Here is a 16,813-nt window from a genome sequence, read left to right on the forward strand (position 1 = left end):
TCTGGGAGGCAGAGGTTGCAGTGAGCCGAGATCACACCACTGCACTCCAGCTTGGGCTACAGTGAGATTCTGTCTCAAAATTAAAAAAAAATATATTGTTCAGCCATAAAAAGAAATAAAGTACTGATTCATGCTACAACATGCGTGAACCTTTTAAGAGAGGGGGAAATGAAGAATAACTGCTAAGGGTATCTTTCTGAGCTGATGAAAATGTTCGAAAATGGGCCAGGTGCGGTGGCTCATGCCTGTAATCCCAGCACTTTGGGAGGCCGAGGCGGGTGGATCACTTGAGGTCAGGAGTTCGAGACCAGCCTGGTCAACATGGTGAAACCTTGTCTCTACTAAAAATACAAAAAATTAGCTGGGTGTGGTGACACACCCCTCCCTCCTTGCCTACTGGGGAGGCTGAGGCAGGAGAATCGCTTGAATCCGGGAGGCCAAGGTTGCAGTGAGCCGAGATTGCACCATTGCATTCCAGCCTGGGCAACAAGAGCGAAACTCCATCTCAAAAAAAAAAAAAAAAATTTTTTTTTTACAGAGGTTTGATTACCTCTGTAAAGACTGTATTTCCAAATAAGGTAATGTTGTGAGGTAGTGGTGGTTAGGACTTCAACATATCTTTTGGTGGGGGACACAGGTCAAACGATAACACTGACTTTAATAGTAAATGGGCTGGGCGTAGTGGCTCATTCCTGTAATTCCAGCACTTTGGGAGGCTGAGGTAGGCAGATCACCTGAACCTGAGGTCAGGAGTTCTAGACCAGTCTGGCCAACACGGTGAAACCCTATCTCTACTAAAAATACAAAAATTAGCCAGGCGTGGTGGTGCACGCTTGTAGTCCCAAATACTCAGGAGGCTGAGGCAGGAGAACGGCTTGAATCTGGGAGATGGAGGTTGCAGTGAGCAGAAATCGTGCCACTGCACTCCAGTCTGGGCAACAGAGCAAGACTCCATCTCAAAAAAAAAAAAAAAAAAGTAAATGATATGGCAGTTCCAGAAGGGCAAATAGTCTCACCGTGAACGAAGGTGTCACCACACACAATTTTTCTAACAGAAAAGTTACGCAAGGGTTGAGGCTTTCCATCATCCAGGAGGCAACAGAAGCATTCCAAATTCCACAGAAAACCTGCCCTGCAGCAGTCACTACTGTACTGACACATGGGGAGCGATCTAGAGCACCAGTAACTTCAGTTAACATTCATTTAAATTATTACCTTTGTATTTTGTACGCATTTGTTTGAGATTTTCATAATAAAATGTTGAGGTAAAAATTTCCTCAGAATGTTGATAAAATCTGCTGTATTAGTCTGTTCTCACACTGCTATAAAGATACTACCCGAGATTGGGTAATTTATAAAGGAAAGAGGTTTAATTGACTCACAGTTCCGCATGGCTGGGGAGGCCTCAGGAAACTTACAAACATGGCGGAAGGGGAAGCAGGCACGTCTTACATGGAGGCAGGCAAGAGAGAACGCATGTGTGAACGCAGAAAAAACTACCATTTATAAAACCATCAGATCTTGTGAGAATTCATTCACTATCACGAGAACAGCATGGGGGAAATCGCCCCCATAATCCAATCACTTCCCTCCCTCGACATGTGGGGATTACAATTTGAGATGAGATTTGGTTGGGGACACAGACAAACCGTATCATCTGCTAACAAAATCTTTATTCTTAAAGAACACCTAAGTAAAAACACCAATTAGCATCTTCAAACAAACATTTTTCACAAGCCAAAAGTAGAGAGAAGATAAATTTTGAAACACAGAAACAAGAGTACATGTCTTCCCTGATTAGACTTATTTAAATTAATGTAGCCAAGGCCTTACAAATCCTTTGATGTATTAAACACTGAACCCTGGGGAAAAAAAGTCCTGCTTTCTGTTGAAATAGTGAACTCAAATATTATACCAATATCAATGCATGAAATTCTTAATGCATTATTTCTTTCCTTTCATGCTTCCTTCCATTTCTCTACCCATTTATTCTGCAATCTCTGCCCACCTCTGGGTAGAGAGGGACAAGTGAGTCACAAGTTACAAGGATGCCACGGCTCATGCAGACTTGGGCACAGGTTGGGTAGAAGAGCACCCAAGCCAGGTATGAACTGAGAAAGGGACTCAGGGACGACCTTGTATTTACGTTATCTTACATAAGCCTTCCACATCCTTATAGGGAAACAATTACACTTAATTTGTTTTTGTTGTTGTTGTTATTGTTTGTTTGTTTGTTTGTTTTGACAGGGTCTTCTTGTTCTGTCGCCTAAGCTGGAGTGCAGTGGTGTGATCTTGGCTGACTGCAACCTCCACCTCCTGGATTCAAACAATTCTCCTGGCTCAGCCTCCTGAGTAGCTGGGACTAAAGGTGTGCACTACCACACCAGGCTAATTTTTGTATTTTTAGTAGAGATGGGGGTTTCACCATGTTGGCCAGGCTGGTCTCGAACTCCTGACCTCAAGTGATCTGCCCACCTCCCAAGATGCTGGGATTACAGGTGTGAGCCACCACACCCAGCCACACTTATGGAAACTGAAGCTCAAATGGGTTAAGCAAACTGGCTAAGATGATTTCATACAGCTTGTAAGAGCCAGGATTTTAAAACCAGGCCTGTTGCCCCCAAAGCCCTGGCACCATGCTGCTTCCTCACTTCACCATGCACAGCTGTCAGCACACTAGGGGAGGGCTTTACCACAGCCTGCATTTAGAAGACCTGACCGCTTCTCATCACCTCCACTATCAACATTCTAGTCCAAGCCACTCTCATCACTCCTACAGGTCTACCTGGGCCAGCCCATGCCCACCTACAATTTCTTTTCAATCCAACAGCCCGGGAGATCCTTGCAAGGCCTCTACTGGCTCAGGAACTGGCCTCCCCACCACCTCTCAGACCCCATGTCCCAGGACTCAACTCCCTGCTCACACTGCCCCAGCCACACAGCCTCCTTGCTGTGCCTCAAACACAACAGGCACACTGCTTTATCAAGGAGTCCATGCATGCTGTTTTCCTGCCCTGGAATGTTCCTCCCTTAGATGGCTGCACAGCTTACTTCCCAGGTCTTTTCTCAATGTTTCCCCTGACAAGAGCTTTCTTTGAGTGTCCTGTTTAAAACTTCTTCCCTCTACCTCCACCTTGGGCCTCCCCAGCCCTCTTGTCTATTTCTCAGCATTGCACTTATCCACATTTAACATACTATATATTTTATGTATAGGTCTGGCTTGTCTGCCTTGCCCTACCAGAATACATATTCCACAAGGGTAGGGATTTTTGTTTTGTTCCCTGAGATGCCTAGCACATAGTAGGTGCTCAATACACATTTACTGAATGAATGTACTGAATTGGGCTGAAAGCCCAATCATTTTAAGTACAATCCACATCTGTATTGCTCATGAATGGACTCTGGCCTGACGTACCACATAGCCCGCTCCTGACTTGGTGGAAGGTTGGGCAATGAAGAGACAATTATCCAACCCAAAGAGCTAAAAGGAGCCCGTTCTTAAATTCAGTGCCATGAAAGGTGCCCGAGTGACTCCTTTTCCATACCACATGTTGTGGAGACATAGGTACCACTAACCTCAATGCTACTCAACCTCAAGGTGTGGTCCTGGGTGAAGGGGACTCCTTGGGCCAGGACATTAGGGGAGGCAAAGAGCAGCCTACCTTTTTGTCTTCTCTGCCCAAAGTGCTCATCAATAAAAAACCCGCCTGGAGGCTTGGGGGCATCTCTGTTTTCCCTGGTGAAGCTCCACCTATCCACAAAAGGGCTCTTTTCTTACACTGACCTTCTCATACTCCCCATCTATGAAACCTCACCAGAGCTACCAATGACAGGCACACGGGTTCAATTCTCCAAGAGGTCTCAGGCAGCAAAGGGTGAACTCTGAACCTGCCTACAGAATGACTGGCAGGAGTGAGCTATTCTAAGCATCGCAGTGTCTGCTGGATGGTGAGGAAACAAGCGCAACAAGGCTGCACAAGGTCAAACAGCAAAAACAGTGCAACAGCGAGATGGACCCTTTCCAAAGGGGAGCCTGTGCTGCAGAAGGTACAATGTCTGCCAGCTCTAAACTCATCCTCATGCTAAGTCCCTTGTGGGTTAGACTGGTGGTGGAGAAATGGGGATGACAAATAATGGGAAAGCCATAAGCGCGTGACTTTTGTAAAATTCTAGGGCACTTAAAGGGTGCCGTTCTGCTCTGAAATTCTACGAAGGGACTAAAATCACTGCAAGATTGCTTCCAAACAGCAAATAAAACCTCACTGAGAGATGGCACTATAATTTCTTGAGTTTGCGTCATTCTGTTTTCTGTAGTTAGAAAAAAGGTGATGGATTTGGGTTACAAAGGCAGTGTTCCACTATAAAAACCTGCTGGTTGCCATGACAATTAACATTCCTGTTCCTCCCTCTTCTGCAGCATCCTTCTTCCATCTGAGTCAAATCAAAGAACCTAGCTATGACGCTCATGATTTAGTATTTCCTCGGCACAAGGATATAAATATATACACACATATACAAAATACTTATCAAAGGCTAATCACAGGTGAACCGAAGCCTTGAAAATTGATACCATCTGTCCTCTACCAACAATGTCCTACAAACAACAAGAGACATCCCTGCAGGAGGGTCCAAGCAGGAAGGGAGGGTGGGCCAGGAAGGCTTAACAGCCAACACCCAGTCCTCCAGTCTAGAGTCTCTCAGGGTGGACTCTGGGGGAGTTCTTCCTTGGGAGGATCCATGAGAAGCCAGGACCCCATGGAGAACTGTCCCTGCCACTCTGCATCATTATTATCTGTCTGTGGGTCTGTCCTCCCCAGCCTGAGCTCCTTGAGGGCAGTGCCCACATCTGACTGATCTCAGGGCCTCGCACAGTGCTGGGCACACCGTGAAGCACCAAGGGTGATGGAGGGCACTCTGGGGTAAAGCAGCCTCCCCTTACATTTTCTACTGAGACCTCACGATCGGGCCTACCCTGCTTCTAATTGGCCCTGTCGGAGAAGAAAGCCAGGGGAGAATTCTAGATCAAAGCTCTGAGGTATGAGCTCGGGACACCTACAGCACAGTGTTGCCATGAGCTCCCATCCCTGGGTCAAAAGTCTTGACCACCAACCCTTCCCCAGACCTGGAGCAAAATTAAGAATAACTTAGAAAATAATAGCATAAATGTGATTTATCTTCTTTTCAGGACAAAGGCTGATCATTCAAATTTCGAATAAGGTTCAAATGGAGACCCTGCTATTTGACTATCATTATCACTCTGTTTAAATTTATTTTAAATAGAAGTTATATATGCCCATTTAACATTTAATTGCAAAATATGCTTGTTTTACAAAAGATATGAAGATACAGGCCAGGCGTGGTGGCTCATGCCTGTAATCCCAACACTTTGGGAGGCTATGGCAGGCAAATCACTTGAGGTCAGGAGTCCGAGACCAGCCTGGCCAACATGGCAAAACCCCGTCTGTACAAAAAATACAAAAATTAGCCAGGCATGGTGGCAGGCTCCTGTAGTCCCAGCTACTTGGGAGGCTGAGACATGAACCCAGGAGGTGGAGGTTGCAGTGAGCCAAGAACGTGTCGCTGCACTCCAGCCTGGGTGATAGAGAGCAAGACTCTGTCCCAAAAAAAAAAAAAAAGAAGATACAAAGATACAGAAAAGGCAGAGGAGGAAAATAAAACCCCCATCATCCCATGACCTGACCTGGAGGTAGCTCGGGCCTACATTTAGGTTTTTATGAGGCCATCCTTGCAGATGTCTGGGTGGTTCTGTCTACTGGTTTAGGGGCACAGGCTCTGGAACGCAGAGCTACCTGGGTTCAGGTTCTAGCCTTTTCACTTAGTGGGATGATCCTGGACAAGTCGCTTAACCCCTGTTTGAGCCTCAGTTCTTCTTTCCTAACAGGAGGATAGTTGTGTCTCTTTCTTGGCACTGCATGAGAGCTGTTTTAACCCAGGTGGAGCCTTGTCATAGTGCTGGCAATGGCACTCCTACCCATTTATGCTAGCTTCATTAATATTCTACTTGTATGTGGCACTTTTTAAACAAAAATGGTACTTTCTGCGTATATCTTGTAAACGTTTTGTGTTTTTGTTTTGTTTTGTTTTGTTTTTGAGGCAAAGTCTCGCTCTGTCGCCCAGGCTGGAGTGCAGTGGCACCAAACTGGCCCGCTGCAATCTCCACCTCCCGGGTTCAAGCGATTCTCGTGCCTTGGCTTCCCAAGTTGCTGGGATTACAGGCACCCGCCATCACACCCAGCTAATTTTTGTATTTTTAGTAGAGACAGGGTTTCACCATACTGGCCAGGCTGGTCTCAAACTCCTGACCTCAAGTGATCTGCCCACCTCCCAGAGTGCTGGGATCCCTTCCAAAGTGCTGGGATTACATGCGTGAGCCACGGTGCCCGGCATAAATGTTTTCAATCAACATAAAAGCATAACCACTTGACATGTCAAAAAATATATTTTTATAACATTGATGGTTTTACTTCTGAAACAAGAGCTCACTTTAGACCAGTTCTTCCTCATCTTTTTAAACGGTTTTCTGCCACAACTGAGAATCATTCCAAAGAAAGCTATGGAACCTCTCCCTAGAAATATGCACGTATGCACACACACACATCAAATCCACAAAGCCTAGGGGATATGGGCTGATTTGTGTACTCTTAAAAATTCATACTGAAATCCTAACCCCCACTACCTCACAATGTAACCGTATTTCAAGATAGGGACTTTAAAGAGGTAATTAGGCTCAAATGAGATCATTAGGGTGGGCCCTAATGCCATTTGACTGATGACCTTATAAGAAGAGAAAATCTGGACACAGACACGTAGAGGGAAAATGATGTGAAGACAGGAGAAAGACGGCCACCTACAAGCCCAGGAGGGAGGCCTGGAACAGCTCTTTCCCTCCTGGTTCTCAGAAGAAACTAGCTCTGCCAACACCTTGATCTCAGACTTCCAGCCTCCAGAACTGCATGAAAATAAATGTATTGTTTAAGCTACCCAGTCTGGGATACTTTGTCAAAGCAGCCCTAGCAAATTATCACATTAGGTTAAGACAACACTGGCCCTAATCTCATGTAATATATATAGCAGTGTTTAATGTATAACCTTTTCTATTCTGAAGTAACAAAACAACATTTAAAAAGTAACAGGATTACAAACTAACCTACTTTCTAACTGTGGAAACTGACGCTCCAAACTTTTCATAATGCTGCAGTAGTAACATGAAAAAACAGGTAAGTTCAGAAAAACAGATGAGGTGTGGGATTTCAGCCTTCTTCATCTCTGTTCATAGATGCATTACTCTTAAAAGTATATTGACACTACTCACGAATAAAAAGGAATGAACTCCTGTTACATGCAACAACATGCAATTGCAAAAGCATTATGCTAAATGAAAGAAGCCACACTCAAAAAGGCTGCGTATCACATGATTCCATTTATACTGCATTATGAAAAAGCAAAACTGTAAGGACAGAAATGAGATCAGTAACTGTCAGGTGCTAAGCAGAGAGAAGGCTGACTATAAAGAGGCGAAAGAGAACTTTCCGGGGTGATAGAAATATTCTACATCTTAATTGAATGTGGGTTATAAGACTGTATGTGTTCTTCAGAATTCATAGGACTGTGCACTTAAAGCAGGAAATTTTACTGTATGTAAATTTATCTCAATAAATATTGACACATTTGCTTTATTAGGCATTAACAAGAATAGAGATGTAAAATTATTGACTAGGTACAAAAACTGCCTAATAGCAAATTCAGAATAACTTTATATTTGCTTTCAGGTAAAATTAAAGTACACAAACTACATACAAATACCATTCAACACCTACATAGACAATCTATCAGCATCATAAAAATTTTCTCTTACAGATATTAAAATGTGGCCTTAAAAAATCACTACTGTAAGTACAGCAGTGATTACAGTACTTGAGAAAGCTCTTTAAGAATGGATGTCAAAGTTGAAGAAGTTCTTTTTTCTTTGCCCTAGCAATGTCACTTCCTGGTATCTCCCCTTAAGAAACTCTCCCACGAGTACAGAGACTGTCCCAGAATCAACCTACCTGTTTGCCATTAGAAGAATGGCTGTAAATACACTCTGGTTTTATTCATGTAGCAAAATAACATACAGCAGTAAAATATGAAAATGAAGTAGGATAAATTATAAAAATACCACATTAGAAAACTGTAATTACAAGGCTGGGCATGGTGTTCCAACACTTTGGGAAGCCGAGGCAGGCAGATCACTTGAGGTCAGGAGTTGAAGACCAGCCTGGCCAACAGGGTGAAACGCCATCTCTACTAAAAATGCAAAATTCGCTGGGCATGGTGGTGCGCACCTGCAGTCCTCGTTACTTGGGAGGCTGAGGCAGGAGAATCACTTGAACCTGAAAGGTGGAAGACGCAGTGGGCCGAGATTGCACCATTGCACTGCAGCCTGGGTGACAGAGTGAGACTGTCTCAAAAAAGAAAAGAAAGAAAAGAAAAGAAAAGAAAAATTGTATTTACAAGAGATGCCATGTATGCAGAATTGTAACCCAAGAATACATATATTTAATTAAATACATGTAATACAATAAATTGTTTATGGATTCATCCAGTGTGTGAAAACACGCAAAGGAATGATACACAGCTTCAGGTTATGGAGGCCTCTGAGGAAGCAGGAAGAGAGAAAGGCATCTAGATAGCTGTTTATGGGACCATTTATTTCTTAAAAACAAGTGACAGAAATTTGATGTAAACATGGCAAAATGTCAACATTCATTAAATCTAGGAGGCAGATATATGGGTATCATAGTTTTAAAATTTTTTTCCATGTTTGAAGCACTTAATAATTCAATTTGTCTGCTTACTATTTAATCACAGAGCCACTTGGTTAATGATTACGGTTTTCTCCAGGCACCAAACATTTGCCCCTCTTTGTGAAACAGTTGCTGTTTCTGATGGGCCATTTCATTACCTTATAATTTTGGAATCTGATGTCACTGCATTTACTTCTACATTAACTTCAACCTTAAATTAACAACCACAGCAATCATAAACTTAGGAAAATTAAAATCCACTGAGAAGTTAATAAGCTTGCTGCCCTAGAAAAATATCTAGGCTCATTTTAGGCTGTTGTGTAAATAAACTAAGAAGCAATTATTTTAAAGAATTATTCACTAACAGTTCGCTGAATGAGTTACTAACAAGTAACTGTGATTTCTGAAATATCCAAAGTATCAGGAAACATTAACATAATCTTTGTATTCAGATTTGGTATTCTTTGTTTTTCAATAGTACATATATATTATTCTTTTTGTTTTTTATTTTTTTTTTTTTTGAGACAGAGTCTCGCTCTGTTGCCCAGGCTGGAGTACAATGGTGTGACCTCAGCTCACTGCAACCTCCGCCTCCCGGGTTCAAACGATTTTCCCTAACTCAGCATCTCAAGTAGCTGAGATTACAGGTGCCCGCCATCACCAGCTAATGTTTTGTATTTTTAGTAGAGATGAGGTTTCACCGTGTTGGCCAGGCTGGTCTCGAACTCCTGACCTCAGGCAATCCGCCCGGCTGGGCCTCCCAAAGTGCTGGGATTACAGGCATGAACCACCGTGCCTGGCCCAGTATATGTATTATTCTTATTTATCTATCTGTTACCATTCTAATTACCCCAAACATGCAAAAAATTATTTAAGAAATGAGGGTTGGGAAGGATCAACATTTAATTTAAAGAAAGCCACAAGAATGCAAGACTATTTCATCCATTTCCTATTTGGCCAAAAAAACAAAAGTTTAAAAAAAAAAAGTCTGTTGGAATGGTAGGCTCACTTTGCAAAACTGTCCTTAAACAGCAACAAGTCTCAAGACCTCTCATTTTAAGTCTTTCTTTAAAAATAAGAGCTTCATTTGAGCCCTGAGTACTTCAAAAACTTTCTTGGTATTAGATCATTTTAAACAGCCAGAGTGCGAGTCAAACTTCTCAATAGTTGAATTTAATGTGCTCCCACCTACCCAAACAATAAAAGCATTTCTAGGTGGTAGAAACAGATGCTGATTTTGCATAAGTAAGTGTCCCTACTGCTCCCCAGGTAGGGCATAAATGAGCCACCTGAATGAAAGAGACTCACTTTAATTTTGGTGCCCACATGCCTAACAGACACCAATTCTGTGAATGCCTCTAAATTGCCCAGCACATGAGGTAAGCTTTGGCTGGCTTTATGCAACACATAGTACTTGATAATTTGCTTAAGTCAGGAGGCTTCTACAAGCATGGTGCCTTTCCCAAATGAAAGCACATGTAAATAGCATATTCATTCCACTCTTAATATGCTCTTGAATCAGGTTATAAAATGTTAAGTGTTAGTTTCTGGGCACAGCCCAGTTTTAACCTCCTTCTGTGTCAGATGCAGAGATACAAGGCAGGTGGACCGTTCAATAATTAACACAAGCGCATCTAGTGATATTTAGGAAGGCACAGGAGTAACATACAAGTAAGAATTAAGCCAAATAAGGAAACAGATCGTTACCTACAAATCAGAAATCTTGTTATATTCGCCATCCTAACATAAGTGACAAACCAACTTAAATTTCCCAGTACAGATCCCAGCACAAGGATATTAAATATGTTTATTAAATAGGAGGAATGTGCAGGCTTGAAAGCAGTCTGGGGCTAACAAAGCAGAAGCAGTAGTCCTGTGACCTGCAGAACACAAAGTTAGGCTGGGTTCCTGCTCTTCCATCTCCCGAGCTGCGAGCTGCGATGGTGTGTCACAAATTACTTAAGGTGGCAACAGTGGTTTGGGAAGCAACAATACACATTCTATGTACCATAACAGTGTTTGCAAACTGTAGAAGGGCAGGATTTTATAACATTAAGTCGAATTTGATGAGAGGTAACACTTAGTTCAAAAGAGAATTAAAAGCAAAATTTTAAAACACACACGCACAAAACTTTGCTATCTTTTCCTCTCAGCCTTTTGGTCTTTCCTTACTGTAAATAATACTGGAGTTATGCCTGTTTTTGTGTGTGTATGTGGGTTTTTTTTTTTTTTTTTTTTTTTGAGACGGAGTCTGGCTCTGTTGCCCAGGCTGGATGGAGTGCAGTGGCACGATCTTGGCTCACTGCAACCTCCGCCTCCCAGGTTCGAGCAATTCTGTCTCAGCCTTCCGAGTAGCTGGGATTACAGGTGCCCGCCACCATGCCCAGCTAATTTTTTTGTATTTTTAGTAGAGACAGGGTTTCACCATGTTGGTCAGGCTGGTCTGGAACTCCTGACCTCAAGTGATCCACCTGCCTCGGCCTCCCAAAGTGCTGGGATTACATGCATAAGCCACTGAGCCTGGCCTCAAAATGTTCATTTCAAATCCCTGAGGGGAGAGGTTGGGAAGGGAAGAGGAAGAGGACTATCAATCCAGAATAAGTGTGGCAGAATTACAACCTTCTGTGTTCGACAGATTTAAAACTCATGGAAAAAGTAGACATTTATAAAAACAAAACTTGATACATATGAACAGCGGTATATTTTTAAAGACAGGTAACAATGCAAAAAATTGCCCTGGGATAACTGTATAGACATCTGAAAAGGAATTGAATAATTCTAACTCATTCAAAGATTCAAATATACAAAAATAAAAATCATAAAATATATTAGGAGAACATGGGCATGTGGGCTTTTAAAAAATCTCAAAGTACAAAGGCCATTCTAAGAATGATACAAACCTATAAACCAGAAAATGTGTAGATTTCTTCATGGCAAAATATGGTTAGTATTTATTCAGCGCTTGCTATCCACTAGCTCTATGCTCAGCACACACCAAACATATAATTCAGGGCAACAGGCAGAATTCTAAGATGATTCCCACGATGGTACCCTCCCACAAGCAAGACTTTTGAACATGATGGAATTTCACTCCTATGGCTACATTATGTTATATGGAAAAATAAAGGAATTTTGCAGACATAATTAAGGCCCCTAATCAGTTGATTTTAATTAATCAAAAGGGAGAGTGCCTAGGTGGGCCTAAACTAATCAGGTGAACTCCTTAAAAGAGGATCTAGAAGTAAAAGACAAAATGCAACAAAGATGCTGTTCATTGGCCCTGAAGAAACAAACTGTCGTGCTATGGAACATGCCCTGTGGCAGAAAACAGTGAACAGCCTCTGGCGGCTGAGGGCCTCAGGTCTACAGTTGCAAGAAACCTAATCTTGTAAATATCCAGTGAGCTTGGGAAAGGATCCCAAGCTTAAGAAGAGATTGCAGTCCTGGTTGACACCTTGATTTCAGGCTGATGACACACTTGGCAGATGATGCAGTTAAGCTGCAGCTGGACTCCAGGCCTATGGAAACTCTGAGATAATTAAATGGGTGTTGTTTTTTGAAGTTGCTCAGTTTATGGTACTTTGTTACACAACAGTTAAAAAAAAAATAGAGTCAGGAATGACAAGCTGGGAAAAATGTACTTGCAAAGCAATTAATTTAATTAGTAGAAAACCAATACAAATCTATGTAAAAGACCAACAGCCAATAGATAAATGGCAAGAACATACATATAAACAGCTCATAAACACAGACAAATGTCTTTTTAGTCTATGAAAATATGATCTATTGTACTATAGTTACATAAAATGCAATCATTGGGAGAAGCTGGGTGAGGGGTACATGGGACATCTCTGTACTATTTTGTGCAAATTTCTGTAGAGCTGTAATTATTTCAAAATAAAAATTTTAAAAATATGACCAACCTCATCCATACCAGGAAAGATATACATTGAAATGGGCTAGGAGTTTTCACCTATCAGATTGGCAAGGATCAAAACAGTTGAAAACATGCTGTGTCCGAAGCGATGTGGGTAAAGGCATGTTCACACATTAATGATAGTTACACAAAGTTTACCAGTGTTGTTCAGTGCTGCATCCTTAGCTCCCAGTGTTCAACACAGAGTAGGTGCAGTGTTCAGCGTGGTAATATCATAATTTAAAATGCACATGCCCTTTGGCTGAGTAATTAGATGCTTGTGAATTTAGCCTGCTAACATATTCCTCACATGTGCAAAAATAAGTAATGACCAAAGACTGGAAGCAATATACCTGTCCTTTAATAAGAAAATGGTTAAATAAATGATGGTATAGCCATACATGGGGATCCTGTGCAGCAATTAAAACAAGGCAAATTAATCTGAATTGATATGGATCAAGAGTAGAATAAGCTTTCCAGCTTCTCAAGTCCCACAGTACAATTTCACAACATACACACATTCACTCATTCAGTCAATATTTACAAAGCTCCAACTATGTCCAATGCTCCATGCCTAGAAAAAAGAACACAACTATCTCCATGAGAGAGGATGGGGCAGGTACCCACAGGCACAGAGGGAGGCATGGGAGTCCACAAAGAAAGGAGACCGGAGTTCAAGGACCAAGAGTGGGTGAAAAGCAAAGGTCAGATGAGAGACTCTGGGTGTCTAAGAAGCTGGGCTTCTGTCCTATTGAAGAATTTGAAGCAAAACATTGACAAGACACTACGCAAAATATACACTCAATGTAAAAATAAAAGAGTGATCTAGCTGGAGAAGGTCATAATCTGGGGACCATCTCTGATGTCACTAGAGGTGTCTTAAGGTATCTCAACTTGAGCACTTAAGCTGAGTCACGTGGGACATGCTCTTTCCCCCATGCCTGAATATGTGCTCATATTAAAAACATGAGGACAGCATGAGGTCCTCTTGCACCATGCCATCTTATGGGGTGGATTCAAAGGAGACATTTGCCACCTCTTCCTCCTCTGGAGAAATATCTATAAGCACCCCTCTCAAGCATCTTCACATGCATCCCTCGACCATATCCTTTCACCCATTCTGCATTCAACATGTAGGATGGAATGGAAGCAGCACACTCTTCCTTGTATTTCTTCCATCTTCCTTCCTGTCTCCCGTGCTTTCTAGTGGGGCTTTCAGGCACTTTGCCTGATGCCAATACATAGAGTCTGAACAGCTCTTACTGAATGGGCTTCATATTGTCAGATAAATTAAATCTATGCCAACCAGTGATTCAGCTGCAAATAGAGGCCACCTGTTCCAATTAGTGAGATTAAAATAGTACCCTGCTGACTATCTGAAGCCAAGTTCAGGCTTTCTGGATGATCACAACATCTTGACAAAGACAGAGAAAAGGGACTTTTGGCCCCAACACAGAATTGAACACACTGGAGTAAATATATTTAGGTGCTGAAGCACAGCTTTCACTAAAGGCATTCTTTATTTTTGGACAAGTGCTTATACTGAAATTTCTGTGGAAGGCTGCAGCTCAAGACACCATTTAATTTCCTTCCATTACAACAAGCCTACATACACATCTTAATTAGGTTCAACTTTACTTTAGAAAAACATGTAACTCAAATTTCTTCTCCACCCACTATCTGTCCTTGCCTGAAATTCCCAAAGAATTCATATTTTCTGGATGTTCCACTCTTCGGCCTATCGTCATCCATTACCTCAGTTTCTCCCAGGTCATGGTCGTCAGAAGACTAAAGAGGAAATAATACAGAGAGAAGCAAGCTCAGCTCATTTCCAAGCTCCTTCAAGTATTTCCACCTAGATGAGACTGCCTTTGACTTATCAGATTGGGCTTCTGTTCATCCCAGTAACAATCATTTATATTGAATTAAATCAATTGATGAGGCCGAGTATGGTGGCTCACTCCTATAATCCCAGCACTTTGGGAGGGTGAGGCAGGTGGATCACTTGAGGCCAGGAGTTTGAGACCATCTCAGCCAAAATGGCGAAACCCCATCTCTACCAAAAATACAAAAAAATTAGCTGGCATGGTGGTGGGCACCTGTAGTTCCAGCTACTGGGGAGGCTGAGGCAGAATTGCTTGAACCTGGGAGGCGGAGGCTGCAGTGAGCCAAGACTGCACCACTACACTCCAGCCTGGGCAACAGAACGAGACTCTATCTCATAAATAAATAAGTAAATAAATAAATTGATGAGTACCTCATTTGGTATACAAGGATTTAAGATAGATTACAGGAAACACATATATGTAAACACACACACACACACACACACACACACACACACACATTGAAACCAGGCCAGAAAAAAATATAAATTAGAAAAGGAAGCCAAAATCAAGAGGTAAGAAAAAAAAAAAAAAAAGAAGAAGAAAAGAAAAAGAAGCAGGCTATAAAAATCTCACTCGGTTCTGCTGAAATTTGGATCTGGGTTCCTGTTGGCCAAAATAAAAAAGGAAAACACTCACTAACTCAAATTTTCACAACCCATGAGTGGGAAAAATGTTTCTAAGCATCTTCTAGACCATGGGTCTAAAGATAAATATTTCATGAAGGAACGAAAGGAGATGATACATTAAGACCAGGGTTTTCCTAGATGATTCTGAATTATTTTAGGTGACATAAGACAAAAGCATTAAATAACATAGAATCACAGTGAGCGAGTTATTTCCTTTTCAATCCTCAATCCAATTCAGTTGATTCAGTCCAGGAAAAGTCTTTGGTGCTAAAAACTTTCTAACATTGCTCCAACACTTGCTAACTAGTTTTGTTGAGACAGGGTCTCGCCATCACCCAGGTTGGAGTGCACTGATGCAATCAAGGCTCACTGCAGCCTCACCCCTCCCACCTCACCCCTCCCAGGGCTCAGGTGATCCTCCCACCTCAGCCTCCTGAGTAGCTGAGAGCATATGTATGCATCACCAAGTCCAGCTAATTTTTGTATCTTTTGTAGAGATGGGGTTTGGCCATGTTGCTCAGGCTGGTCTCAAACTCCTGGGCTTAAGCAATCCACCCACCTTGGCCTCCCACAGTGCTGGGAATACAGGCGTGAGCCACCACACCCAGTGCTAATCTACTTCTTAATCTGCTGCTGGGAGGCCTCAAACTCAGAAGATATATAGCTAGAATAATGACACTGATACTTTGAAAATAAATGTAAGTTTTAAGGAGATAACTGATTTAGAAATATCAAGCAAATAACAGTGCAGGTGGTATGAGGCTGTGTGTCGTAGATGTGGGAATGACTGAACTTTGGGAAACTGCGGTAGACCACGAATGACTCAAACTCAGAACAACAAATGTTGTAATGGGTTTCCCAACACCGCTTCTAATGGCTGCTCACAAAGCCGCTAAGTGAAAGAGCTGACGTTCAAGTTTCACTCCAGAGTCCATTTCCTGATGCTTCACTCTGTTGCTCAAATCCAGAGGTAAGCTTAAGAGAGGGATGTTGGGGGCAACGAGGAAAAGACAGATGATCGACATTTAAGAAGTAAACCATTGGGGCCAGGTGCAGTGGCTCATGCCTGTAATCCCAGCACTTTGGGAGGCCAAGGCAGGCAGATCACCTGAGGTCAGGAGTTTGAGACCAGCCTGGTCAACATGGTGAAACCCTGTCTCTACTAAAAATACAAAAATTATCTGGACATGATGGTATGTGCCTGTAATCCCAGCTACTCAGGAGGCTGAGGCAGGAGAATTGCTTGAACCTGGGAGGCAGAGGTTGCAGTCAGCCAAGATGGCACCACTGCACTCCAGCCTGGGTGACAGACCCAGACCCTGTCTCAAAAAAAAAAAGAAAAGAAAAGAAATAAACCACTGGATGCCTGGGTAGGGTGGGGGATTGAGGGAGCAGCTCAGGCATCTGGTTTGCTGACTGGCTGTATGGGAAAAGTATAATATTAACCAGGAATAGAAGGGCGGTTCAAAGAATGAATCTGATATACAGACTTTGAGGTGCCTGTGGAACAAGAGGTAGGTGGAAGTGTCTCATAGGATACAGTAAAAGCCACATTTTACTCCCCGGCTGGGCTCT

General features: G+C 42.4%; 1 protein-coding gene across 1 annotated transcript in view, besides 1 other annotated feature; it reads right to left on the reverse strand.

The window, feature by feature from the left end:
* The window catches only part of TMCC3 (transmembrane and coiled-coil domain family 3), an 83,436-nt gene that overhangs the window by 57,514 nt on the left and 9,109 nt on the right, over positions 1-16,813 (reverse strand). The gene's annotated exons all lie outside the window — the stretch shown is intronic.
* Positions 15,891-15,970: an enhancer, noted in NCBI's record as "active region_6790". NCBI's record gives its function as "activates an Ori minimal core promoter by ATAC-STARR-seq in GM12878 lymphoblastoid cells {active_cell/tissue: GM12878}" and the evidence as "EXISTENCE:reporter gene assay evidence [ECO:0000049][PMID:35858748]".

The sequence above is a fragment of the Homo sapiens genome, chromosome 12 (genome assembly GCF_000001405.40).
Source record: "Homo sapiens chromosome 12, GRCh38.p14 Primary Assembly".
Classification (NCBI taxonomy): Eukaryota; Metazoa; Chordata; class Mammalia; order Primates; family Hominidae; genus Homo; species Homo sapiens.